General features: G+C 38.8%; 1 long non-coding RNA gene and 3 pseudogenes across 2 annotated transcripts in view, besides 1 other annotated feature; 1 reads left to right on the top strand and 3 right to left on the bottom strand.

The window, feature by feature from the left end:
* DMXL1-DT (DMXL1 divergent transcript) overlaps window positions 1-26,865 on the top strand; it is a 74,579-nt gene that overhangs the window by 38,895 nt on the left and 8,819 nt on the right. The window contains exons 3-6 of one of the 2 annotated variants that reach the window (NR_134249.1): window positions 11,756-11,919; window positions 24,791-24,922; window positions 25,135-25,238; window positions 25,366-26,705. This is a non-coding gene — a long non-coding RNA (DMXL1 divergent transcript). Of the gene's footprint in view, window positions 1-11,755; window positions 11,920-19,917; window positions 20,194-24,790; window positions 24,923-25,134; window positions 25,239-25,365; window positions 26,706-26,865 lie in introns of those variants that run through there. The other variant, NR_134250.1, reaches the window with a different exon arrangement.
* Window positions 105-154: an enhancer, noted in NCBI's record as "active region_22957". NCBI's record gives its function as "activates an Ori minimal core promoter by ATAC-STARR-seq in GM12878 lymphoblastoid cells {active_cell/tissue: GM12878}" and the evidence as "EXISTENCE:reporter gene assay evidence [ECO:0000049][PMID:35858748]".
* NANPP2 (NANP pseudogene 2) lies at window positions 19,184-22,165 on the bottom strand (annotated as a pseudogene).
* Window positions 19,838-20,541, bottom strand: CATSPER2P2 (CATSPER2 pseudogene 2; annotated as a pseudogene).
* On the bottom strand, window positions 24,328-24,425 carry RNU6-373P (RNA, U6 small nuclear 373, pseudogene; annotated as a pseudogene).

Genomic DNA, 26,865 nt, shown 5'->3' with positions numbered 1-26,865 from the left:
TGATTTATGTTTTAATAGGATCACTTTGGCTGCAGGATTGAGAATAGTTTTAAGGAAGGCAAAGGCAGAAACAGAATTACTAGAATGTAAACTCCATTAAAGCAAAGTTTTTATACGTTTTATTCACTTTGTATCCCTAGTGGTTTATAATAGTGACTGGCAGATAGAGATAATCATTTGTTTAAGAATGCATATTTGCATATGTGTGCACCAGATCATGATATGAAATATATTTCTTATGGTAGATCAAGGTCAAAAGGATTGAAAACCCCTGTCTTAAAACTGACCTAGTCTTGGATCTCAGGAAAGGGATTCTCTGGGAATTGACCTTTTTTAGGCTGAGATCTGAAGAATGAACAGGAGGATGTGGGGGTGTCAGAAAAAAGACTTTTTCAGAAGTTGTAAATTTGAGAATCATCAGCACATGCATAGCATTTGAAGCTCTCTGCAGGTGTTTTTGTGTGAAAGTAAGGAGCCAAATTAAAGCCATTGCTAACCGCCTCCACTTTCTGTTTCTTATTTTGTATGCTCATTTCCTGTAGCATTCGTCCTGTTGAAAAATAGTGTAGTCATTTATTTTTTAAAAAGTATAAATCTTGAAGGACGCTTCCTGTCTCACATCATAGTAATAGGAAAAGTCAGTGAATTTGAAATTCAAATTTAGTTTATTTAAATGAGTAAGAAGATTCACGGATATTTTAGGTATGCCACATTTTTTGAGGCTATATCTTTTTACCTCTGAGTCTGATTCAATTTTGAATACTCAGAATATGCTTCTTCTATACAAGTATTGGTATGAGTTATATCATCTGCTCAAGGGACTGGCAATGATTTTCTTTATTTTTTTTCTTTTGGGGACTTTTGGGAAGGCATGATTGTGTGTTGAAATGTGAGAATGACATGAGATTTGGGAGAGGCCATGGGTGGAATGATATGGTTTAGCTCTGTGTCTCCACAGGGCAAAATAGGGACAGCAAGTCCTGAAGGAGAGGAGGCTCATACTTACATATCTGAGATAAGAACTGTTCCAAGAACTTTCTAAAAATCCTTTCACTTCTTTCATACACCCTTTGATAAGATTTATCACAAGATGGCCGGGCACGGTGGCTCACGCTTATAATCCCAGCACTTTGGGAGGCTGAGGCGGGCTGATCACTTGAGGTCAGGAGTTTGAGACCAGCCTGGTCAATGTGGTGAAACCTCATCTCTACTAAAAATACAAAAATTAGCCAGGTGTGGTGGCATGTGCCTGTAATCCTAGCTACTCAGGAGGCTGAGGCAAGAGAATTACTCGAACCCAGGAGGTGAAGGTTGCAGTGAGCTCACTACAGCGCTACTGTATCCAGCCTGGGCGACAGAGTGAGACTCCATCTCAAAAAAACAAACAAACAAACAAAAAAACGCAAAAGATTTATCACAAGACATTCTTTAAGACTGCAGTGATTAAGTTGAGCTGTTCTTGGAAAAACATTTGCCCAGTAATGGCATTTCTATCAATGAACTAACAGCAACTCTGGCTTAGAAACTCCATGACCAATGAGCCATTTCTAAGCAGCTCATGTAAATATTTTTTGCTAATAAAGGCTCTCCTTACCCTTTCTTCACTGAATGCTCTGGTGATTTGCCATGTCATGCATTCCAGATTATAATCCTTATTTCTTTTCTTTTTTCTTTTTTTTTTTTGAGACGGAGTCTTGCACTGTTGCCAGGCTGGAGTGCAGTGGCTTGATCTCGGCTCACTGCAAGCTCCGCCTCCTGGGTTCGCGCCATTCTCCTGCCTCAGCCTCCCAAGTAGTTGTGACCACAGGCGCCCGCCACCACCCCCGGCTAATTTTTTGTACTTTTAGTAGAGACGGGGTTTCACCGTGTTAGCCAGGATGGTCTCGATCTCCTGACTTCGTGATCCGCCCACCTCGGCCTCCCAAAGTGCTGGGATTACAGGCACCCGGCCTATAATCCTTATTTCTATTTCCAAGTAGACTCAACATATTTAGAGATAATTTTCTCTAGCATCTTTTGACAAACTCGTGACCTAAACACCTCTCATTAGGCCCCACCTCCCAACACTATTGCATTGGGAGTTAAGTTTTCAACACATGAAATGTGGGGGACACAGTCAAACTATATCACTTTGTCTGCCACTATTAGAATCAGATATCCACATTGTGTGTTTTTTTTAAAAAGAATCACTTCTTTTTTTTTTTTTTTTTGAGATGGAGTCTTGCTTTCTTGCCGAGGCTGGATTGCAGTGTCACCATCTCGGCTCACTGCAACCTCCGCCTTCTGGGTTCAAGTGATTCTCCTGTCTCAGCCTCCTGAGTAGCTGTGATTACAGGCGCACAACACCATGCCCAGCAAATTTTTGTATTTTTAGTAGAGACAGGATTTCACCATGTTGGCCAGGTTGGTCTCAAACTCCTGACCTCAAGTGATCCACCCATCTCAGCCTCCCAAAGTGCTGGGATTATAGGCATGAATCACCATGCCTGACTCAAATCTTTTAATTAATTAATTGATTTATTTATTAACAGATGTGGACTCACTCTGTCACTCAGGCTGGGGTGCAGTGGTGCAATCATAGATCATAGCTGAACTCCTGGACTCAAGTGATCCTCCTGCCTCAGCCTCCCAAGTAGCTAGAATTATAGGTGCATATCACCATGCCCAGCGAATTTATTTTTTGTAGAGATGGGTCTTGCTGTTTTGCCCAGGCTGGTCTTGAACTCCTGGCTTCGAGTGATCCTTCTGTTTTGGCCTCTCAGAGCACGGGATTGTAGGTGTGGGCCATTGCACCTGGCCTAAATCTTTTACTTAATGCTATACCTCCTCTTCCTACAACCCTCTTTAAAAAAAAAAAAAAATCAAATATTAAGTTTGCAAACTTATTCACTTATGTTTATTTTATGAAAGTGAAGACAAGCTTATTTTATGGCAAATGTTACCCTACTTTCTTGAACTGATTAAGAAAAAAGTGATTTCTTTCTCATTAGTATAGTGGTATTAAAATAAAAAGAAGAAAAAAGAAAATAAAATTATTTTTCAAGTGATCTCCTCATTAAATAAAAATGCAAAGTATTTCCTGTTCAGTGCAGAGAAGACCTCTTAAAGTATATTGTCCAAAAAGGAGGAGAAAACTTTTTACGTCTAGGTTTCCCCTTTGGGGATTTCTCGTTGTTTCAGGTCACTGCCACTTACGTTGTCTCCTTCAGAGATAGGCTCCTTCCTTTAAAACTTTGACCCAAATGTTGACAAAACCCTCAAACTCCCACTAGTTATGCTCTGTGCACATGTAAGTGTACGTATACACACACATTCACACACACGCTTTTAAAAAATGTTGAGTTCATACAGATGTCAATAATTCCATTCAAATACCACAGGATCTTTCTTATTCTCCCTCATTCCATATTTGTATCTCTCTTCTCCCTCATGGAGAGCCGTGGCTCTCCATGTGATCCCACTGATCACTCAACTACAACTTCTACCCGTCTGCCCGAGTTATCAACAGAATCGAGCCTCAATTGTCCACAACTGTAATCTGCCTTATGAAGGTAACATTATTGATTTTCTTTTTTCCCTTCCCTGGATCACTTCTCTATTCCTCTACTGGTGCTTCTGGGATTTAATTCTGAAGTAAACTACCTGTATTCAAATTCTTGTCTCAGTATATGCTTCTGGGGAAACACTGTGTAAGTCACACCCCCGACTCACTAACCTACTGATCCCAAGTACCAAGAAATGGTCTTGTAACAACTACAAATATACAAATGGTCTTGTAAAAACTACAAATATTCAAAACATAATATTACATTAGCAATATACTAAGATATATCTAGACTGTAAAATATAGTACAAATCTAGGAAGCAAAACTTTCTTATGATCATATTTTAATACTCAATTATTTCAACTTATCATAAAACATAACTGTATTAATATTAGTTTTGTTTATGAGTTAAATTATAGTGTGTACAGCTAAAAGAAGAAAAAAATGAAAGAAAGCAAGAAAGAAAGCGGTGAGAAAATAGAAGAAGGGAGAGAAAAAATAAATCTACATACAGGGTGAATGTTCTGTTTTTAAATGGCCTTTGTGATTCATAAACACTAGCAATGTGTCATTTGATTCACAGATCCATGCCTCCAAGGAGCAAATGTAGGAATAAATGAACACTAAGGCCCTGGTTTTGATCTCATGCAAAAAGGAGGTAATATTATTTCATCAAATGAGCCGTTTGTGAATAAAGAAATGAATTGAAAAAGCTTGATTTCCTGTCATCTTTGGTTCAATTTAGGGATGGAAAGGAATAAAAACAGGAGCATTCTTAGATCAGTACCAGTTTAGTAAGAACAGTTCTTCACAAGACATAACAAAACACCTCTCAACCTTTCAAAGAAAAAACAATGCAAGTCTTTGCTCCAAATCTATACAGAGGTAAAACACTAATATAATAGTCATAGAACTCTGTGAGCCTAGTATAAAGAAATCTGTATTTAAGAGCTCAGTTATGATTTCAAAATTAATTGAAGGCCAGGTGCAGTGGCTCACACTTGAAATCTCAGCACTTTGGGAGGCCAAGGCAGGTGGATCACCTGAGGTCAGGAGTTCAAGACCAGCCTGCCTAACATGATGAAACCCCGTCTGTACAAAAAATACAAAAATTAGCTGGGCATGGTGGCAGGTGCCTATAATCCCAGCTATTAGGGAGGCTAAGGCAGGATAATCGCTTGAACCTGGGAGGCAGAGGTTTCAGTGAGCTGAGATGGCGCCACTGCACTCCAGCCTGGGTGACAGAGAGGGACTCTGTCTCAAAAAAAAAAAAAAAAAAAAATTGTGGGATAGATATTTGCAAAAGTATTGGAAATTAAAAAAAAATTATGGAGTAGGTATTTACAAGAGTATTCACAATAAGACTTCTTATATACAGTCAACTTTATTTTAAAAGCAAAAATGACATAAATGAGTGAGAGAGATCCAAGCCTTGTAGAGTAGAAATGCTCTTTGAGCTCTTATATTTGTTTATATAGAAATTTTCTTCATAAAGAGACTTTTGGTGAAGAACAGTGAGTACAGTTATTTATGAAGTTGTCTTTTAATTCAAAAAATGAGTTTAACTGAAAAGGTTGAAAATTGAGTGATTTCCTAAACCAGGAAGAAGTTGAATCCCTGAATAAACCAATAACAAATTCTGAAATTGAGGCAGTAATTAATAGCTTACCCCCCAAAAAAAGCCCAGGACTAGACAGATTCACAGCCAAATTCCACCAGAGGTACAAAGAGGAGCTGGTACCATTCCTTCTGAAACTATTTCAAACAATAGAAAAAGATGAACTCCTCCCTAACTTATTTTATGAGGCCAGCATCATCCTGATTCCAAAACCTGGCAGAGACACAACAAAAAAAAGAACATTTCAGGCCAATATCCTTGATGAACATCAATGCGAAAATCCTCAATAAAATACTGGCAAACCAAATACAGCAGCACATCAAAAAGCTTATCCACCACAATCAAGTTGGCTTCATCCCTAAAATACAAGGCTGGTTCAGCATACTCAAATCAATAAACGTAATCTATCACATAAACAGAACCAGTCACAAAATCCACATGATTTTCTCAATAGATACAGAAAAGGCCTTTGATAAAATTCAACACCCTTTCATGCTAAAACTCTCAACAAACTGGTATTGATGGAACATATCTCAAAATAGTAAGAGCTATTTACGAAAACCCATAGCCAACATCATACTGAATAGGCAAAAGCTAGAAGCATTTGAAAACTGTCACAAGACAAGGATGCCCTCTCTCACCTCTCCTATTCAACATAGTATTGGAAGTTCTGGCCAGGGCAATCAAGCCAGAGAAAGAAATAAAGTGTATTCAAATAGGAAGAGGGGAAGTCAAATTGTCTCTGTTTGCAGATGACATGATTGTATATTTACAAAACCCCATCATCTCAGCCCCAAAACTCCTTAGGCTGATAAACAACTTCAGCAAAGTCTTGGGATACAAAATCAATGTGCAAAAATCACAAGCATTCCTATACTCCAATAATAGACAAACAGAGAGTCATATCATGAATGAACTCCCATTCACAATTGCTGCAAAGAAAATAAGGAATACAACTTACAAGGGATGTGGAGGACCTCTTCAAGGAGAACTACAAACCACTGCTCAAGGAAATAAGAGAGGACACAAACAAATGGAAAAACATTCCATGCTCATGGATAGGAAGAATCAATATTGTGAAAATGGCCATACTGCCGAAAGTAATTTATAGATTCAATGCTATTCCCATCAAGCTACCATTGACTTTCTTCATAGAACTAGAAAAAACTACTTTAAATTTCATATGGAACTGAAAAAGAGGCCATATAGCCAAGACAATCCTAAGCAAAAAGAACAAAGCTGGAGGGATCACACTACCTGACTTCAAACTATACTACAAGGCTACAGTAACCAAAACAGTATGGTACTGGTACTAAAACAGATATATAGACCAATGGAACAGAACAGAGGCCTCAGAAGTGACACCACACACCTACAACCATCTGGTCTTTGACAAACCTGACAAAAACAAGCAATAGGGAAAGGATTCCCTATGTAATAAATGGTATTGGGAAAACTGGCTAGCCATATGCAGAAAACAGAAACTGGACCCCTTCCTTACACCTTATACAAAAATTAACTTAAAATAGATTAAAGACTTAAAACCTAAAACCATAAAAACCCTAGAAGAAAACCTAGGCAGTACCATTCAGGACATCAGCATGGGCAAAGACTTTACGACTAAAACACCAAAAGCAATTGCAACAAAAGCCAAAATTGACAACTGGTATGTAATTAAACTAAAGAGCTTCTTCTCAGCAAGATAAACTATCACCACAGTGAACAGACAACCTACAGATTGGGAGAGCATTTTTGCAATCTATCCATCAGACAAAGATCTAATATCCAGAGTCTAAAAGGAACTTAAACAAATTTACAAGAAAAAAACAAACAATTCCATCAAAAAGTGGGCAAAGGATATGAACAGACACTTTTCAAAAGAAGACACTGTTGGTGGGAGTGTAAATTAGTTCAACCATTGTGGAAGACAGTGTGGCAATTCCTCAAAGATCTAGAACCAGAAATACCATTTGACTCAGCAATACCATTACTGAGTATATACCCAAAGGATTATAAATCATTCTACTATAAAGACACATGCACACATATGTTTATTGTAGCACTGTTCACAATAGCAAAGACTTAGAACCAACCCAAATGCCCATCAATGATAGACTGGATAAAGAAAATGGGGCACATATACACCATGGAATACTATGCAGCCATAAAAAAGAATGAGTTCATGTCCTTTGCAGGGACATGGATGAAGCTGGAAACCATCATCCTCAGCAGACTAACACAGGAACAGAAAACCAAACACCACATGTTCTCACTCATAAGTGGGAGTTGAACAATGAGAACACATGGACACAGGGAGGGGAATATCACACACCGGGGCCTGTCAGGGGGTGAGGGGAAAGGGGAGGGAGACCATTAGGAAAAATACCTAATGTATGGGGGGCTTAAAACCTAGATGACAGGTTGATAGGTGCCGCAAACCACCATGGCACATGTATACCTATGTAACAAACTTGCACGTTTAGCTCATGTATCCCAGAACTTAAAGTAAAAATAAAGTAAGCAAATAAATAAATAAGACAATTGAGTGATTCCTTTGTTAATCTCTGAGGTACCCTTTTCCTCCCAGTTCTTCCTTTTCATGTCCCTAGCCGTGTCTGGGGTGTTATGATTGAATCATTCTCTTGGAACCATTTCCTTGTTTGACACTCACCTGCCATTTGAACAACTGAAATCTAAAGTCATGTGAAACAACCTCAAATTTGCTATAGCTATTGGATTTGGCTGTTGTCCCTCACTTATGAAGGAATAGCTTTATAGCTCCTACCTGGATTCTGAGATAACGAAACCTGGATTCAAGTCCTGGCTCTGTCACTATTTTTGATGAATGATTAAAGACTTCTTGACACTAGAAGTTCTCTCTAGGTTGTTTGGATGAACTAGCTGAAGCTGGGGCCTCCTCTCCTTTTGCCAGTGAAAGTGGCTATGTCTGAAACAACTTGTCTTGGTAACTGTTGCTCCTTTTCTCCCAGTGGGCAGAGCTGTGACCAAAATCAACTTTCCATAGGAACTAATAAGCAGTGTTGCCAGATGACTGGCACCCAAATTCAGACCATTTAGTGTCCCAGACCAGACTTTATGTCCCTTGTTCATAATTCCACTTTCATCTTGCCCTATAAAGGGGAGAGGAACAGGGGTGGATTCCTCTCTTTAAGCACAGCCCTGTTATGCATCCAGCTGCACCCTGGCCCTACTTAGCTCACCTCTTTGCAAGATGCCCAGAGAATGGGGTAACCCTTCTGCCTGTGGCATACACACCCAGTGATACTGCAGATGTTTGCAAGAGCCCTTGGCTGTCAGCATGATGTTTTACTTTTGTGACCTTTAGTTTCCTCATCTGTGAAAATGGAAAACACAATACAGTCTTCCCTCATATCAGGGGAAGGATTGGTTCCAGGACTCCTTTAGATGCCAAAAGCCACTGATGCTTAAGTCCCTCATATAAAATGGCATAGTATTTGCATATAACCTATGCACATCTTCCTGTATACTTTAAATCATCTCTAGGTTACTTATAATCCATAATACAATGTAAATGCTATGTAAATAGTTGTTCTATATATATATTTTAACATTTGTATTATTTTTCATTTTAAAAACTATTTTTGATCTATGTTTGGTTGACTCTGTGGATGTGAAACTTATAGATAAGGAGGGCCAACTGTACCTCACAGGATTGTTTTCAAAGTTAAATTTATCTATTCCTCATGTGAAGTACTGTTGAGTTACCTCTTATGTAAAAGTTTGCTGCACAGATTAAAATAAATCACCTTTGAGAGAGTTGTGGTGTTATCAAAAGAGCATGGACTTGTGAGTCACATATTTGGCTTCACATACGTTCCAACTTTGTTGCTTTGAGCCCCTGTGACCTTTAGTAAGGTGTGAGCATTAAATGAAATGATATCTATAAAAGGATCAAGTACACATGTGTACATGCTCAATAAATTGTTAACTTGCTTTCCTGCTCCCCTGCCTTTCCTCCTCCCTTCCTCTTTTTTTTTTTTTTTTTTTCCCAGAGATGGGGTCTTACTTTGTGACCCAGCCTGGAGTGCAGTGGTATGATCATAGCTCACTGTAACCTTGAACTCCTGGGAACTCAGGAGCTCAAGGAATCATCCTTCCTCAGCCTCCTGAGTAGATGGGACCACACGTGTGCTCCACCATGCCTGGCTAATTAAAAAAATTCTTTTTGTAGAGTTACAGTCTTGCTTTGTTGCCCTGGCTGGTCTCGAATTCCTGGCTCCAAGCAATCCTCCCACTAGACCTCCCAAAGTGCTGGGATTATAGTTGTGAGCCACCATGCCTGGCCCCTCCCTTCCTCTTTACTTACACGCATGCTTGCTTGGTTGTTTCTTATTCTATTCTTACTTCTCCTTCAACGTTCTCCCTATCTGGACTCTTTCCTCCTCCAACTTTTCCCCTAACTGATATGCTATGTTTTCTCAAACTCAACAAATTCTCAATATGCAGTAGAGAATAAAGGATTGAATCCTTTATTCAATCCTTTAGTGAATGTGGGCCTGGGGCTGGGCGCATTTTCTGGACCTACTACATATGGAAAGGTTGGGCAATGAACATCCATCCTTGTGATAGTTGCTTAAAGTCATCAATAAGTGCAGTAATGCTTACTTCAGTAGCCATCAGATTTGTATGTTTCTGCAAATCTGGGCTGTTCTTTGCTTCCCTCTTCTGGTGAGTTTCTTTCTTTTTTTTTAGATTTCTTCAGAGAACAGCTATAATTTGGAGGGATGTAGTAAACAAGTCAGTAAGTCTAGAGTAGCATCCAATATCTTATCATCTTCCTAGCTCAATTTCTTGCAACTGAGGCAGTATTGTTATTTCACACAATGGACTTGCTGACATCAACGGAGCCAGAAAGACTAGGCAAAATTGAGACTTAGAATTAGACATTCTGTTGAGTTACTAGATAAGCAGAGCCCAGCTGAGATGGTAAGTTCTGTAGGGATAGTGGAGGGACTCTCTCCCTAAGGATCTAACTCAAATGACTTCATGTTCCAAGCAAGTAAGTAAACCAGTAAAGGGGCAGATATACAGTAGGGAGTACTGGAGGCTATGGCAAACTGGGGAACATATGTCTGGCCTAAGGACATTCAAATGTAAACATTTCAAACATTGAATGTGCCAAACCAAATATGTTAGCGGGCTAAATTTGCCCTATGCACCATCAGTTTGCAACCTCCTCAAGACTTACAGAACTTGGTCTCTAGGGAAAACAGCAACAGGTAGTAGTGGTGAGCCAGAAAAGCGGTTCCTAGCAGGAAGGTTCACACAGGTGTAACAGGATAACCTGAGCATGAGTGTTGTTATGGCATGCAATATGGGAGAAGTAAGCCGTTAGTTAACAGGGTCCCAGTTCCACAGATGAGAGTGGCAGGAGGCAGGGCTCAGTGAAGGGCTCTAAGTCCTCTGTGGTGGCAGAGGGAACAAGACAATTTCCAACCAGGAAGGCCTAGGTTATGAATATGGTAATTGTTATGGGAAATCAGAACAAGGATGCAACAAATGGCAAGATCACATATCACTTATTACTGAATCACTTGCAAATTGAATGTAAATCCCTTACAATATTTTTATTGCTTCTTAAAAACTGAGTTTTAAAATAGTTTATTATAGAACATTTAGAAAATACAAAAAAGCATAATAAAAAAATAACTTTTTGGCTGTCCTACCTGAGGAAAGGCAGCACTGTTTCCAAAGCTTGAAGCCAGGCAGGGAATCAAGAACTTCTGTCTTGGGAAGAGGACTTTGGAGTATGGGGACAGGAAACTGGACTAGGAGCCAGAAATGGGCTGGACAGCCTTTATGAATTATCTATAGCAGAGCTGATTTCAGACTATTTAAGATTATTTATCATAATTTTTTATTTGAAAATATTGTAATTAGGATGGCTGGCACGGTGGCTCATGCCTGTGATCGCAGCACTTTGGGAGGCCCAGGCAGGTGGTTCATCTGAGGTTAGGAGTTTGATACCAGCCTGGCCAACATGATGAAATTCCTGTCTCTACTAAAAATACAAAAATTAGCCGGGCATGGTGGTGGGGCCTGTAATCCCAGCTACTCAGGAGGCTGAGGCGGGAGAAGCACTTGAACCCGGGAGGTGGAGGTTGCAGTGAGCCGATCACACCACTGTACTCCAGCCTGGGTGACAGAGCAAGGCTCCTTCAAAAAAAAAAAAAAAAGAAGAAAGAAAATAAACATTGTAGTTAGGAGCCAGAATGTAAAACTTAGCTCTTATCTAGTCAGATCTTTAGTATTCATAATATACCTTCATCTTTTTAAGGAGGTATGAACTATCAGGATGTCAAATATTCATATCTTACCAAAATGCATGTCCTTAATTTCTCTTTCGGGGTTATGGACTATTCTGGATTATATACACTACTGATCTTCCACATTATGGATTATACTGTTTTAGAATAATTCTGGTTTAACTGAATATATGTATAGCGGAGTATGAATCTTTTCAATCTTCAATTATTAGTCTGTTTTATGTAATAGTTGTGGGTCACTGTGTGTGTTTTTAGTATAGGAGTAACTTTTTTTTTTTTTTAAGAGACAGAGTCTTGTTCTGTCGTGCATGCTGGCGTACAGTGCCACAATCACAGCTCACCGCAGCTTCCAACTTCTGGACTCACATGATCCTTCTGCCTCAGACTTCCAAGTACTTGGGACTACAGTCACGAATCACCACAGCCAGCTTGGAGTGACTTTCTAAGGGTAAATAACGAGTCAATTGAGACTGTAATTATATGACTTGGGGCAAAATTAACTGTGGTCAGCTGACTTGTTACCGTATTTAATTTTAATTTTGGAGCTTGTATTCAAAAGCTATTATATGAATATAAGAATAAATGATTTTTTTAACAAAAAAGAGTATTTTAGAAGAGAAACATGATATCTAGAAGAGAAACATTTCAACTTACTATTCTCTGGGCTTTTGTTAAACTACACTCACATCTCTCCTAAAATAAACAAAATCAATCATCCATCATACGCTCATATAATGGCATTTTCAGTGAATAGAGGTATTGTGCAGAACATGTCCCAAAATGTAAAATCTAAGATTTCCCATATGTGGCTGCCACAATAACTCCACTCATGCATTCTAACATCTAATAGTCTAACATTATTTCTATATTTAGTTTTTCTTTAAACTTCCTCTTTTTTTTTTTGTTTTTTTGGTAATTGCCACATCTGCTTTAGCAATTTTGTGATTTTTAAACTTCCTCCTGCAAAAAGGTTTTAAAAACATTTATGTTGCTTGTATAATATAACCATTATCTCTTTGGAAACTTGGAAAAATATAGTAAAATTAGTGGGAAATGGAATTATAAGCATTCTTTTTTTTTTCTTTTGATGGAGTCTCACTCTGTCGCCCAGGCTGGAGTGCAGTGGCACAATCTCAGTTCATTGCAACCTCCGCCTCCCGGGTTCAAGTGATTCTCCTGCCTCAGCCTCCTGAGTAGCTGGGATTACAGGTGTGCGCCAGCACACCTGACTAATTTTTGTATTTTTAGTAGAGAAGGAGTTTCGCCATGTTGGCCAGGCTTGTCTTGAACTCCAGACCTCAGGTGATCCACCTACCTCAGCTTCCCAAAGTGCTGGGATTACAGGTATGAGCCACCGCCCTTGGCCCAAGCATTCTTTCTTTTTCTTTTTCGTTTTCTTTTCTTTTCTTTTTTTTTTTTTGAGATGGAGTTTCACTCTTGATGCCCAGGCTGGAGTGCAATGGCTCACTGCAACCTCCGCCTCTGGGGTTCAAGCGATTCTCCTGCCTCAGCCTCCCGAGAAGCTGGGATTACAGGCATGTGCCACCACGCCCGGCTAATTTTGTATTTTTAGTAGAGACGAAATTTCTCATGTTGGTCAGGCTGGTCTTGAACTCCCAACCTCAGGTGATCCACCCATCTCGGCCTCCCAAAGTGCTGGGAATGCCAGGTATATTTTCCCCATAGTTTTAGCTCAAGGTATTACATAGTTATTGCCAAAAAAAAACAATGGTAAACATCTATAGCTGAGTCGTCCGTGAATATTTAATGGATTAGTTAAGAAATAGTGACTCAGGAAATATAAACTTTAATCTTAGCTATTTCTGATGTAATGTCATGTCAGTCATTCTTTTTACTCTACGTTATTTTGATTTTGTACCTCATAAAATTTGGGAAACTGCTAGTAAATAACTACACTCAACAATGTGGGAAGGATGAAAGAGGCTTTATGATGTCACAGAAAGAGCAGTTGGCCAGGAATTAGAAGATCTGGCTTCTAAATATAGTCTTTTCACTTAAAATTGCCATGTTACTTTAGGCAAGCCATTTCATTTTTCAGAGGCTGTCATTTTCTTCATCTATCAGATACAGATGATAATACATATCTTATTTATATTTTAAGGCTGTAGGGAAGTACAAAATTAAATAGTGTTGGTAAAAGGACTTTACAAATTGCAAAGTTATAATTTCAGAAATAACACCAGGGCTTTGCTATAGTACCATTTGCTACAGCATGGAATTCAACATAATGCTGCTCTATTTCAGACTATTGAAAGGGGTACGTCAGTGGCAAGGCTATATCATATTCATATTTGCAGGAATTTCTAGGTTGGTATAATGAAATTCAAAGGATATTTATTTTAGAATTCTGACTCATTTCTGTTAACTCATACATATACTATTTCAATGATTTACTTTTGTTTTGAGAATTACTTGATTTTCCCCTATTTGTTCTCCATTCCTTTGTCCACCAACTCCCACCCCCACAAACAGTAAACTAAAAACAGACGTTCTTCTTTTTCTTTTATGAGACAGGGTCTCACTCTATCACCCAGGCTGGAGTATGGTGGCACAATCTTGGCTTATTGCAGCCTCGACCTCCTAGGCTCAAGCAATCCTCCTGCCTCAGCCTCCTGAGTAGCTGGTACAACAGGTGTGAGCCACCGCGCCCAGCTTATTTTTTAGTTTTTGTAGAGACAGGGTTTTGCTGAGTTGCCCAGGCTAGTCTCGAACTCCCAGCCTCAAGTGACCCTCCTCCATCACCTCCCAAAGTCCTGGGATTACAGGCAGGCACCGCCACACCCGGCTCTGAAAACAGATGTTTATAGAAGAACCAATGGTCATTTTTGTGTTCCAGATCTGTTAGAAGTTTACAGTACAATCAAAGGGATTTGAAAAGATCTCATGGAGCTATTCTAGCTTTAGTAAAGCCTATATATAGGAAAATGATGGCTCATTTTATTTGCTGCCCTTCTGAAATCAGGCAAACAGTAGGTATTTCTAAGGTACACTTGAATGCCTGTTTTTTAAAAAAATCAAAGTCACTTTGAATAATGTTACCATTTATTTAAAATCTTTGTTTTTATCCCTGACTCTTTCATAATATAGCCATGCTCTCTCTCTCTCGTATATATATGCACACATACCTATACACATATATGTGTGCGTGTGTGTACGTATATACATATATGTGTATAGGTATGTGTGTATATATATGTATATGCATGCATATATATTTCTATATATATATATATATACACAGAACTGAATATTTGATATCTTGATGTGGTACTTTAAATACAGCATGAACAAAACAGAATTCTTGGTACCCTATTTTGTCACCCCTCTCCTCCAGACATGTTGATTACCCCAGTCTTCTCTATCTCATTTGATGATACCATTATCACTCAGTTACTCCAGTCCAAAATCTGTTTCCCATGATTCTTTTTCATTTAGCCATATATTTAAACCATCAGCTAATCTTTTGACTTTAGCTCTAAAACACATTTAATCTGTGCATTTCTTCCCATCTCTATTATCATCCTATTACAAAGCAATGTCTGTCTGTCTCTCTCTCTCTCTACACACACACACACACTTTCTGCCATTTAAGAGTAAGTTGCAGATATGATACTTCATTATCCCTAAATACTTCAGTGTTTAATTCCCAAATACAAGGACACTCTGTTATACCATTATAATTTTTTAAATAAATAAACATAGATACACTACTATAATCTGTAGATTTTGTTCAGCTATCTCTAATTGTCTAAATAAAACATATTCACTTTTAGCTACCCTAAATCTGCAGGACAAGCTTAAGCAATGTGTTGTACCTAGCACAGAATGATTGGTTCATAGATAGCACCATTATAGTTTCACTTCTCCTAATTGTTTATATGATACCTTTTTTTTTTTTTTTTTTTTTTAAGACAGAATCTCGCTCTGTTGCCCAGGCTAGAGTGTGGTGGCGTGATCTCGGCTCATTGCAACTTCTGCTTTCTGGTTCAAATTCTTGTGCCTCAACCCGTGGAGTAGCTGGGATTACAGGCGTGCACCACCATGCCTGGCTAATTTTTGTATTTTTAGTAGAGACAGGATTTCACCATGTTGGCCAGGCTGGTCTCAAACTCCTGGCCTTAACTGATCCTCCCTGCCTCGGTCTCCCAAAGTGCTGGGATTACAGGCGTGAACCACTATGCCCAGCCTATGTAGTACCTTTATGAAAATACATGAAAGGAAGTGGGGGCTTGGTTCTATCTACCACTGCCTTCTGTCAAATCTTTCACTAGTAACTTAAAATATCTGGTTCTTAGTTTCTTTAAGTATAAGGTTATACAAGATTATCACTGAGGAGCCTAGTGGTTCCAGAATTTCATAATTATATAAGGATGGTTTGTGTCCCCATATTTTAGTCTCAGACTGAATTCTAGCACAATTCTGAGGCTCTTTGTTAATAGTTAGGTTCACTACATGAAGGGCGGGTTGATAGAAGACAGTTCTTAATTTTAAGGTTCTTGCAGGCTACCATAGAAACTCACATACAGGGTTGTTGCTCTGGAGGAAGCAGATGAGCAAAAGTGGCCTCTTTGTGCTCAAGGATCTTGACTCTGTGTATACTGATTATGGAACTTGAACATTAAAGCCCAAAATCTACTAATAATTATTTTCCAACATTTTCTCTCAAGGATTTAAGGATAAAGAGCAAAAGGTAACTGCCAGGATGCTTTTAAACGAAGTTATACTTCTGTCTACATTTCATTTCAAAGCAGAATAATTCAAAAGGAGAGATAGGTTCAGGGCTTATGACTTTTAGTTATTGGCTAGAATGAGGAGATAACAGGTGACATGTTAGACCAAGGTGCTTATTGGGGCTCAAAATTTTGGGAGGGGATGTTCCTCAAGGAATTCCAAGGTTGGGATTTTTATCTCCTTAGATAGTTTAACATATGGAACAATATCCATAAGCCTAGACTATTGATACCAGCTTTGGAATCCCTGAGGAGAGGTAGTGTGAGTTGCCACAGACAAATAGGAGTCTATCTTCCATTACCTTTTTGTGGTGCCTTCCCATACATTGCCTTTGAGCTTTGCTCTTCTCTCTCTCCTCACTTCTCACCCCTATTGACAAATGTTTTATTTAGCATCACAGATAATTATTTTATTGAGTATTATTCCAGTCTCCTAATGCCGAACATTTTCAGTAAATAATGTTCTTTCTCATCCCTCCAGGTAATTACAAAAGTAAACTTCTTTAACATAGCTATATCACAGCACGAGTGGGAGGAAGGAAGATGAGGAGGAGATGGTTCTTCCTACTGGTCCTAAAAATGCTCTTGAGTGATATCTATACAATCAAGGATAATATTAAAATATTTAAGAATCAGTACCACATAGGACTCATTTGACCAATTGTAATGGATGCAAATAGCAGGGCTGGATCAGGGTTCTAGAGGCCTCTTTCTGTGCTAACCCTACCTCTTTGGTGCTGGATCAAAAGTAGGAAAAAATGGGGCTCCAGGCAGGGGATACTGTAAATCAGCATTTTAATAGGTTTTTGGTCATATCTGTGCACATTCGTTGATTATCAGGTCTGTGCTCAATGGTCTTATGATATAACTTCTCCAAATCTTTTCTTCTTCCATATCAGCAACCACTTCCAAGTTAAAGATATATCTGCTCCTTATGGGTGGGAGTGTAGCAGTGGATTTAAAAAAATTTCTTTTAAAAAAGATTTACTGAAAATAGAGATGGGGTCTTGCTCTGTTGCCCAGGCTTGTCTTGAACTCCTGGGCTCAAGTGATCAACCTACTTCGCTCTCCCAAAGTGCTGGGATTACAAATATGAGCCACAATGCCTCGTTTAGTAGTAGATTTTATTAGGTGTTTTAAAATTTTGTTTACATTGGTCTTGGCATACAAATGTTTTATGGTTTTATTAATCAAATAAACATTTTTCGTTTATGCTTTTGTTGCATTGCCTTTATGGTTATAAAGACCTTTCCTATAGAGATATCAACCAAATATTAAGGTATATTTTCTCTGAATTTACAAAAGATGTTATCTTTTTTTTTTCTTTTCTTTTTGAGACGGAGTCTCGCTCTGTCGCCAGGCTGGAGTGCAGTGGCGCTATCTGGGCTCACTGCAACCTCTGCCTCCCAGGTTCAAGCAATTCTACTGCCTCAGCCTCCTGAGTAGCTTGGACTACAGATGCATGCTACCATGCCCGGCTCATTTTTTGTATTTTTAGTAGAGACGGGGCTTCACCATGTTGGCCAGGATGATCTCAAACTCCAGACCTCGTGATCCGCCCGCCTCGGCCTCCTGAAGTACTGGGATTACAGGTGTGAGCCACCATGCCGAGCCCATTTTTTTTCATTTAAAAATTTTTATTTTTTTTTATTTTAAAAATAGAATGGAGGGGTCTCACTTTGTTGCCCAGATTGGCCTCGAACTCTTGAGCTCAAGTGATCCCCTGGCCTTGGCCTCACAAAGTGCTAGAATTACAGGCATGAGCCACCATGCTTGGCCTGGTGGTATCATTTTTAAATTCAACTTTTTCTCTGTGACCTGTTTTTTTGTTTTTGTTTTTGTTTTTTCATGTCATGTGTAGTTCTAACTTGCTTTTTATCCAAAGATATCATATTTTTTTTTCACTGTTATAACATTTTTTAATTTTAAGGGATCTTAGTCTAAAATGAAAAATTATTAATAAAATCATGGGTTTATTTCAATATTTAAAAATATCTTCAGTAACATTCCACTCAGAAGGTAGATAACCACAAAGTTCTTCCGTAAGGAAGGGTGCAAATGGAATTTAATATTGTCTTACTGTACTATGTAGAATACAAACTGTGAAGACAAGGAAATTAAATAATTCCATTTTTTTCTCCTACATTATTTTTGCTGAAGAACTGCTCACTTAACATCCTAGGAACTACCTTGTTGAGATTTGTCACCACTGTGTAAAAGGGATGAACCTTTATCCATAGTGTAATGAATGTGACACTGCCTATACATCCATCCTGTGGGACAGCTAAAAGAATGAGCCCCCAGCATCACACATGCCAACCAGTCTATTAGAGCAATCATCCACATAACTACTTTTGCCAAAATCCTCCAACTTAAGTTTTAAATAGCTAAAATATGATCAATGTCATATAGGTACTGTATCTGAAACTACAAATACACTCTGTTCACAAATGTTCAGTGGTATAGAAACAACACTTTGGGACAGTCAAGGGTACAATCACATTTTTAAAAATCAAGAGTAAGCAGTAAACACAAAAGGGCATTCACACAAGACAGAGAATCCTGTTTCTTGGCAGTAGACAGAAAAACAGCTGGCTAAAGAAATAAGTTCACAGATAGGTACAATATACAATTTGATTCTCTGACTATTAATCTTGGAGACATAGCTATACATCCAAACACACAATCTAATATTTTCCATTATTAGTTTATTTCATTTTTTGAGACGTAGTCTTGCTCTGTTGCCCAGGCTGGAGCTCAGTGGCACAATCTCAGCTCACTGCAATCTCCGCCTCCCAGGTTCAAGTGATTTCTGGCTAATTTTTGTATTTTTAGTAAAGACGGGGTTTTACCATGTTGGCCAGGCTGGCCTCGAACTCCTGACCTCAAGTGATCCACCCGCCTTGGCCTCCCAAAGTGGTAGGATTACAGGTGTGGGCCACCACAAACAGCTGTAATTATTTAGTAGTTTATTATCCAACGGTTAAAAGAAAAACCCACCAAAAACCAATCCAATTATATTTATTAACCACTTTAATAACCTCCTTTATTCTTTATCAACTACTTTACTCCAAGTTTGGTAAGTGTAATCGTGAGATTGTCCAGCCTAATGGTCCAGAGAAAATTCTCTGGTTGCAAGATGATGCCTTGCTACGGAGCCATTAATAATTAAGCTCCAAGTAAATCCTGAATTAGATATAGAAATCTGCAAAACAACGATATATTCAAAAATGTGAAAAACAGGAGATTTAAGGCTGATGGTAACTCTAAGAAGAGTCACTCAAGTATTAAAATGGCGCTCTGGAAATGGCTCATAGCGAAACCGAATTTTCTATTCGGTTCATCATATGGGTGAAACCACTGTCAGTAGAGAACAGAAGGGGGGCTGCATGCTTAGGCTGCACCAAGGAAATTTTGCTTTTATGGATCCACAGAAGAAAAATGACTTTTGGTGCCATGTGGCTTGCACTTATCTCCAGCAAGACAGCCTAGCTCCCTCAACCCCATTGTGTATCTGGGAAAAGATAGTAAAAACATTTCCTTGAGAGGTAAAGACTACAAGGAAGCTACAAGCTCACTGTGCACAGGTAAGAAAGGAGGACCATGTGTGGATTTTTTTTCTATCTGAACAGACATTTATGTTTTGAATTCTCTATTTCCAACAATTCCCTTCATTATCTTTTGCTGGGCCCAAGGATATTGAAGCCATCCATTGCTTTGTCTTCCAAGTTCATCAGTGCCTGCACAACATGGTAACAACAAAGTCAAAGACATTCCAGACACTCTTCCGGAAAAAGGAAAAGCTAGGATAGCCACATAAGAAGGATCTCCAGGATGAAAATAAACAAGATAAACCAAGTTGCCACCTCCAAGCTCAGCTTCAATAGCCACAGTTAGGTATTTGTGGATTCCAGCAATTCTATTTCAACCATCAATACGATCATATTCAAAAAGATGAGGAAGATGACGAAGTTTGTGAAGAGAGGACACTCAAGGACCCATCCGGCCCACAAAGAAAGAGGTGGCCTCTGAGTGCAGCGCACATGAAGCCTGCTCAACAGCCTCTGGGCATGTGAAATCTGTCCTATACGTTGAGGCTTTATGGAGAAGCACACTAGCTGGTGTTGATCTCCCAACATAAGTTTCTTCTGGTGGGAAGGATGAAGTAACTCCCTGATAGTGTGCCACGGCACAGCTTGGCTCAAGCCTTGCAAATGCTAGATGAGAAAGTATCGATGAGACATGAACGAATGGCATCAGCTAGGGGCAGCTGCATCTGCCCTTCTTGGTGATAAGTGGCCATGTCTGCTCAGCCCAGGTTCTCTTCACCCACTCAGTCCTGACTTCACGCTTCCGCCTCCAGCTCTGGCGCCCCCTGAGCCCCGCTCACCCGACGCAGGGCTGGCTCAGGGCCGGCTCACAGCCTCACTGCGCCCCATTCCCAGCCCCGGCCCCAGCCCAGGACTGGGCCCAGCCGTGCTCAGGTGAGCTGCCTCGCCCTACTCAGCCACCATGTGTAGATTTTAAGCTTTTATTTATTTATTTATTTTTTAACTGGAGGAATCTGTCACACACCACCAAGAAAATTGTGTTCTCCTCTGAAAAAAAAAGTCATGCAAAAAAATCAGATTCATAATAGAAAAGGAAGTATACCTCCAAAATAGGCAAAAATATGTTTTATGTTTTAAAAACATGCAAAATAATTTCATGATGAAATACCTTGATTTGCATGTGACTTAGAACTTATTTCATATTAACCAGATTCAGTTGCTGTGATAAATCTATTATGTGTTTTAGAAAATCTATTTTTAAAAAATATCTATTTTTAAGCCAGAAGAAAAACCTGGCATTTGTGTATCCATGTGTAAGCTAGCCTGCTTGGTATCATGCAGTCAAGGTACTAAAAGATTAATAAAATTAATTTTAAAAATCTCCTGTTACAGACTAACAAATAATATATTTCCTCAAATTTTCTGGGCTATACTACTTTGTATTAATGCAATCTGAATTTTCAGATACAAATACCAGTCAATGGTTGAACTTAAAAGCAATAGGGTTGGGAGGACCTTTGCAATATTGGTCATTAAATCATAAGTAAAATTATTCTGGACCATAGTAAGTGGAATGCCCTAACTTTTCTTAGTTCAAACTCTGCACATTGATTCTGAAGTTCATAATCATGCCCTTTTATGTGCTTTAAGCGGACATCCTGACTTTGTGGTGTATACTTTTTGTAAGAGAGCAGGTAACTCCAGCACAGAAGAAACCATGTAATGCAGAAGGGGGGAGGACTTCAGTGGCACTATTCCATTTTTATTGATCCAGACTGTTGCTTTCAGTCCTGCATTGAGGCCTCCTTGGACGTCGGTTTCTAACGTATCACTGACCATCATACAGTCCCCAGGTTGTACTTTGAGAAGATTGCAGCAGTAATAAAATATGGATGGTGCTGGCTTCTCTCTCTGCTCTCCACCTCCAATAGCGTGGAAATACGACTGACAGGCACAAGGCTCAATCTTCTCCCTCTGGATCTGTCTGTCCCCATTCCTTAATAAAAATAGGCAGACCTTCTTTCAAAGTTCGGTGAGCATGACTTTGATATTTTCTGCTAGTGTCATAAGCTGTAAACGTGTAGATTTCCAAAGGAAGTGACATTCTCCAGTCAATTTTCTATTGGCGGCACCATCTTTTGTTTCCTGGACTGCTTCTTCCCAATTGAAGTCCTTAGATCAGTAATGCATGTACTGTAAGGATGAAAACATTCCTTCCTGAGTTTAACTTGAACTTTATCACAGATGATTTCAGCCTTTTCTTAAAATGATATTTTGATTGTAAGAGCTTTATCACCTCCAACAGGTCTCTCCTGCTCACCCTGGCCATGTCGATGAGCATGCTGTCCAGGTCAAAGAAAGAGGCCAGCATGTGGCTCATCCCCATAGCCCCCATGGCTCCCGCCACCCTCGCACGTGTGAGGTGGGCGTCCCGGCAATGTCTTACTTTTAATAATGTGTGATTTTTTTCATTGATGGCTATTACATTTTTTATCATGTTTTAGGTTCTTCTATGTACTGTAATGAATTCTCTTCAACAGTTATCTATTTTTTTCAGTTGATTAGTCTTAATTATCATATCTTTACATGCCTATCTGGGAAATAATAAAATGCTCTCTAGAATTGTGCAACATGGCAGCCTTGTTTAGAAGAAATTGACAGTGTTGAATTTCACCTAAGTTCTGTGCTCCTGGAAAAGAGCAAGATGGAGAAATCCCCCACCCTTTTGTGTTTCAGAAAGGCCTTGCTGCAAAGAAGCACCCTTTCCCATATAATTTAGATAAAACTCATGTATACTGCCTTGTTTACCTATGACAAGGCCAGAAACAGACTCCAAATTCCCACTCTTTGCCTCATAAATGATTAACTAAGCTTGTTTGTACTAATGATCAATGGGAACAAAATGCTTGTTAATCACACTTTGGTTAAGATTCTATCTATCCGCCAGGTCTCTGAACCTTGGCCCATCCTCAGTCTGAGTCAGCATGTAACCCTTCTTCAACAGCATCTCTGGAGAGAAGGCTGGCTTCTGGGTAAAACATTCTTTAATCCCATTCTCTTATCCCACCTGCCCACATCCAAATCTTTCTAATCTAGTTTACTCCTCTCTATAAAAGAAAAACTCTTTTCACCTAACTCTTGAGAAGCTTGCAGGTATTATGGTCAAAGAGTTCCTGTTATTGCAATAGCTCCCCTTCTCCTATTGAAAGAGACCCTTTTCCTCTTAGAATAATCCTTCCAACAAAGTCTCCTTACTAAGTCTGAGTTTGCTTTTTGACAGGACCCACTCATTACCTTTCATTAAATTTTTTTTTCTTTCCTATTCTCAAATAAGAAAAAATTATTTTGCCATATCTGGCCCTTACCTGATTTAGGTTTTTAAAAAACTTTTTGGAGGTATAACTTACATACATACAAATGTATGTATAACTTGCATATATTTAAGAGGTAAAATTTGGTGATATTTGACAGATGTATAACCCCTGTGAAACTTGTATTACACAATGTATGGCACATTTCTGTCACCTCTGTTTTCTTGAGCCACTTTGCATATAACCTCCCTTCTGCCCTTGGCTCTTCGCAACCACTGATCTGTTCTCTGTCAGTATATGCTAGTTTGCATTTTCTAGAACTTTTTATGTGTGGAATTATATGGTGTGTCTGGCTTCTTTCACCAGCATAACGATTTCGAGATTCAACAATATTGTTGCAGTTATTAGTAGTTAATTCCTCTTTTGTTATCGGGTATTATTCCATTTGTATAGATATACCATATTCTTTATCCACTGATCTATTGATGAATATTTCTTATTTTTCCCCCAGTTTTAAGGTTGCTATAAGCTGAATGTTTGTGTCTTCCCAAAATTCATATGTTGAAAACTAATAATCCCTAATGTGACGGTGTTTGGAGGTGGGGCCTTTGGGAGATGATAGGTCATATGGTTGTTGGGAGGTGGGGCCTTTGGAGATGATAGGTCATATGGTTGGAGGCCACATGAATAGGATTGCTGTCCTTATAAAAAAGGCCTCAGAGAGTTCCTCTGCCTCTTCTGCTGTATGAAGAAACAATGAGAAGATGGCCATCTGTCTATGAACCAGGAAGTGGGACCTCACCAAAAACTGAATCTGCCTGTGGCTTAATCTTGGACTTGCCATCCTCCAGAACTGTGAGGAATAAATTTCTGTTGTTTATAAGCCATGCAGTATATGGTATTTTTGTTATAGCAGCCCCCACTGAGAGGGATATTGCAAATAAAATTACTATGAACATTTAAGAACAAGTGTTTGTGTGAACATATATTTTCATTTCTTTTGAGGAGGAGTAAAAGGGCTTGGTCCAAAGGTAGGTATATATTTGAATTCTAAGAAACTGTCATAGTACTACCATTTTACATTTTCACTAGCAGTGAATAAGCCCCTTTTAGGTTTGAATTAAGATTATATAGTTTGGGAAGAAACAACACGTTAGTGATATTCAGTTTTCTATAAAGGCAAATGCTATACATTTTTAGTTACTAAAAATGTTCACATTACTCAGTGAAGTTTTTCTTTTTTTAAAATTTTTAATTCCTTCATGTCATCCTTGTGCAGTGGCCATGTTAATCTTCTCTGTATCATTCCAATTTTTGTATATGTGCTGCTGAAGTGAGCACACTCTGAAGTTTTATGTCTTTTCATCACATAGGTCTTGTTAATTTCCTATTAGGATTAGTCCTAAGTATTTCATGTTTCTATTATGGAAGATACCTTTTGTTTTAGTTTACGTTTTAACTGCCTACAATTATCTTCTTTAAAAATATAAATTTTTTCAGATTGGTTTTAGATTTGCAGAAAAATTGTGAAGATAGTACAGAAAGTTTCTACATATCCAGTATCCAGTTTCTCTATTATAAACATCTTGTTAGTCTTGTACATTCATTATAATTTATGAGCCAATATTAATACATTATTGTTAACTAAAATCCGTACTTTATTCAGATGTCCTTTGTTTTTACCTAATGTCCTCTTTCTGTTCCAGGATTCCATCCAAGTTACCACATTATATTTGTTAATCACGTGTTCTTTGGCTTCTCTTGTTTGTGACAGTTTCTCAGACTTCTGTTTTGCTTTGTTCTCAATAACCTTGACAGTTTTGAGGAGTAGTGATAAGGTAATTTATAAAATACCCCACAACTGGGATTTGTCTGGTGTTTTTCTCATAATTAGGCTGGGGTTATTTTCATTTACATCACATGGTACAAGGGCACACACTACCATCATGACTTATATTGCTCATAATGACCTTGAGTTAGTGTTTGTCAAATTTTTCCACTGAAAAATTACTCTCTTCCCACTCCCTTTCCATGCTGTATTCTTTGGAAGAAAGTTACTATGCGCAGACCACTCTTAGGGAGTGAAGAATTATGATGCCCCTCCTTGAGAATGGAGTACTTACATAAATTACTTGGGACTCTTCTGCATAGGAGGTTTGTCTTTCCTCCCACATTTATTTATTCAAGTGTTTATTTATATCACTATAAACCCATGGGTTTTCATTTTACACATTGGGTTATAATCCAATATTTTTTTTTTTGTTTTTTTTTTTTGAGACAGGGTCTTGCTCAGGCTGGAGTACACTGGTGCAATCATGGCTCCCTGCAGCCTCAACCTCCTGGGATCAAGCAATCCTCCCACCTCAGCCTCCCAAGTAGCTGGGACTACAGGTGCATGCTATTATACCCAGCTAATTTTTTAAATTTTTTGTAGAGACAAGGTCTCACTATGTTTCCCAGGCTGGTCTTGAACGCCTGGGCTCAAACAATTCCCCTACCTTGGTTTCCCAAAGTGCTGGCATGAGCCACTGTGCCCAGACTCATTATTTATTAAACTATTTTGTGGCTCAAATTGTTCTAGCATTGGTCACTGGGAGCTCTTTCCATTGGCTTCTCTGTCCCTTTGATGTACCTACATCATTGTGCTTATGAATTATTTAAAATTATGTTTATTTTTATAATTCCTTACTTTCTGGCACTACAAGATGCTCAAGATTTATCTTATTTCCTGCCCCATTTTTGGAATTGACCATTTCTCCAAAGAGCCCTGGTTCCTTTAATTAAACAGTACTAAATATAAATGAATATATTTCAGCATATTAGAAACCAAGATCTGAGCCAGGCATGGTGGCTCATGCCTGTACTCCCAGCACTTTGGTAGGCTGAAGCAGAAGGATCACTTGAATCCAGGAATTTAAGGCTGCAGTGAGCCATAATCATGCCATTGTACTGGTGATAGAGTGCCTGGGTGATAGAGTGAGACCCTGCCTCAAAAATAAAATAAAATAAAATAAAATAAATAACTGAATAGCTTTCCATGTTTCCATGACAGTTTTAATCACATTTAATCTTTTAATGTTTGAAATTATGCATTTGCAGAATTATTTGAGCCTAGAGTATACTGGAGGCAATTCTTTGACACATTTTTCATGGTATTGGTTTATTCAGTTCTTCTATTTTGTTCCTGTGTCAAGTTTTGAAGCTAAAATTTCCAGAAAATCGTGAGGACAGCCAGCAGTCTTGAAAAATTGAGTTAATATAAAGTATAGAATATGAAAGTAGCTCAATGCCTTCTCAGTGGTTCTTCTTTGTACTCAATACTGCTAACTTCTAGAACTATTTGTGTCTATTCAGTGCTTTTAAGGAGACAGACAAGTTCCTTGGCCTTGGACATCTTTGTTAATGATTCCAATTTATAAATTCTGAAAGTTACTATTGTGTGACCGTGACCATGACCAAGTTACTCAATGTCTCTCTCTCTCTTTTTTTTTTTTTTGAGATGAAGTCTTGCTCTGTCTCTCAGGCTGGAGTGCAGTGGCAAGATCTTGGCTCACTGCAACCTCCACCTTCCAGGTTCAAGCAATTCTCCTGCCTCAGCCTCCCGAGTAGCTGGGATTACAGGTGCCTGCCATCATGCCCGGATAATTTTTGTAGTTTTAGTAGAGACTGGGTTTTGCCATGCTGGCCAGGCTGGTCTCGAACTCCTGGCTTCTAGTGATCCTCCCACCTCGGCCTCCCCAAGTGCTGGTATTACAGGTGTGAGCCACTGTGCCTGGTGTTA

Source organism: Homo sapiens, chromosome 5 (genome assembly GCF_000001405.40).
Source record: "Homo sapiens chromosome 5, GRCh38.p14 Primary Assembly".
Taxonomy (NCBI): domain Eukaryota; kingdom Metazoa; phylum Chordata; class Mammalia; order Primates; family Hominidae; genus Homo; species Homo sapiens.
This window is presented reverse-complemented; position numbering and strand designations above follow the sequence as displayed.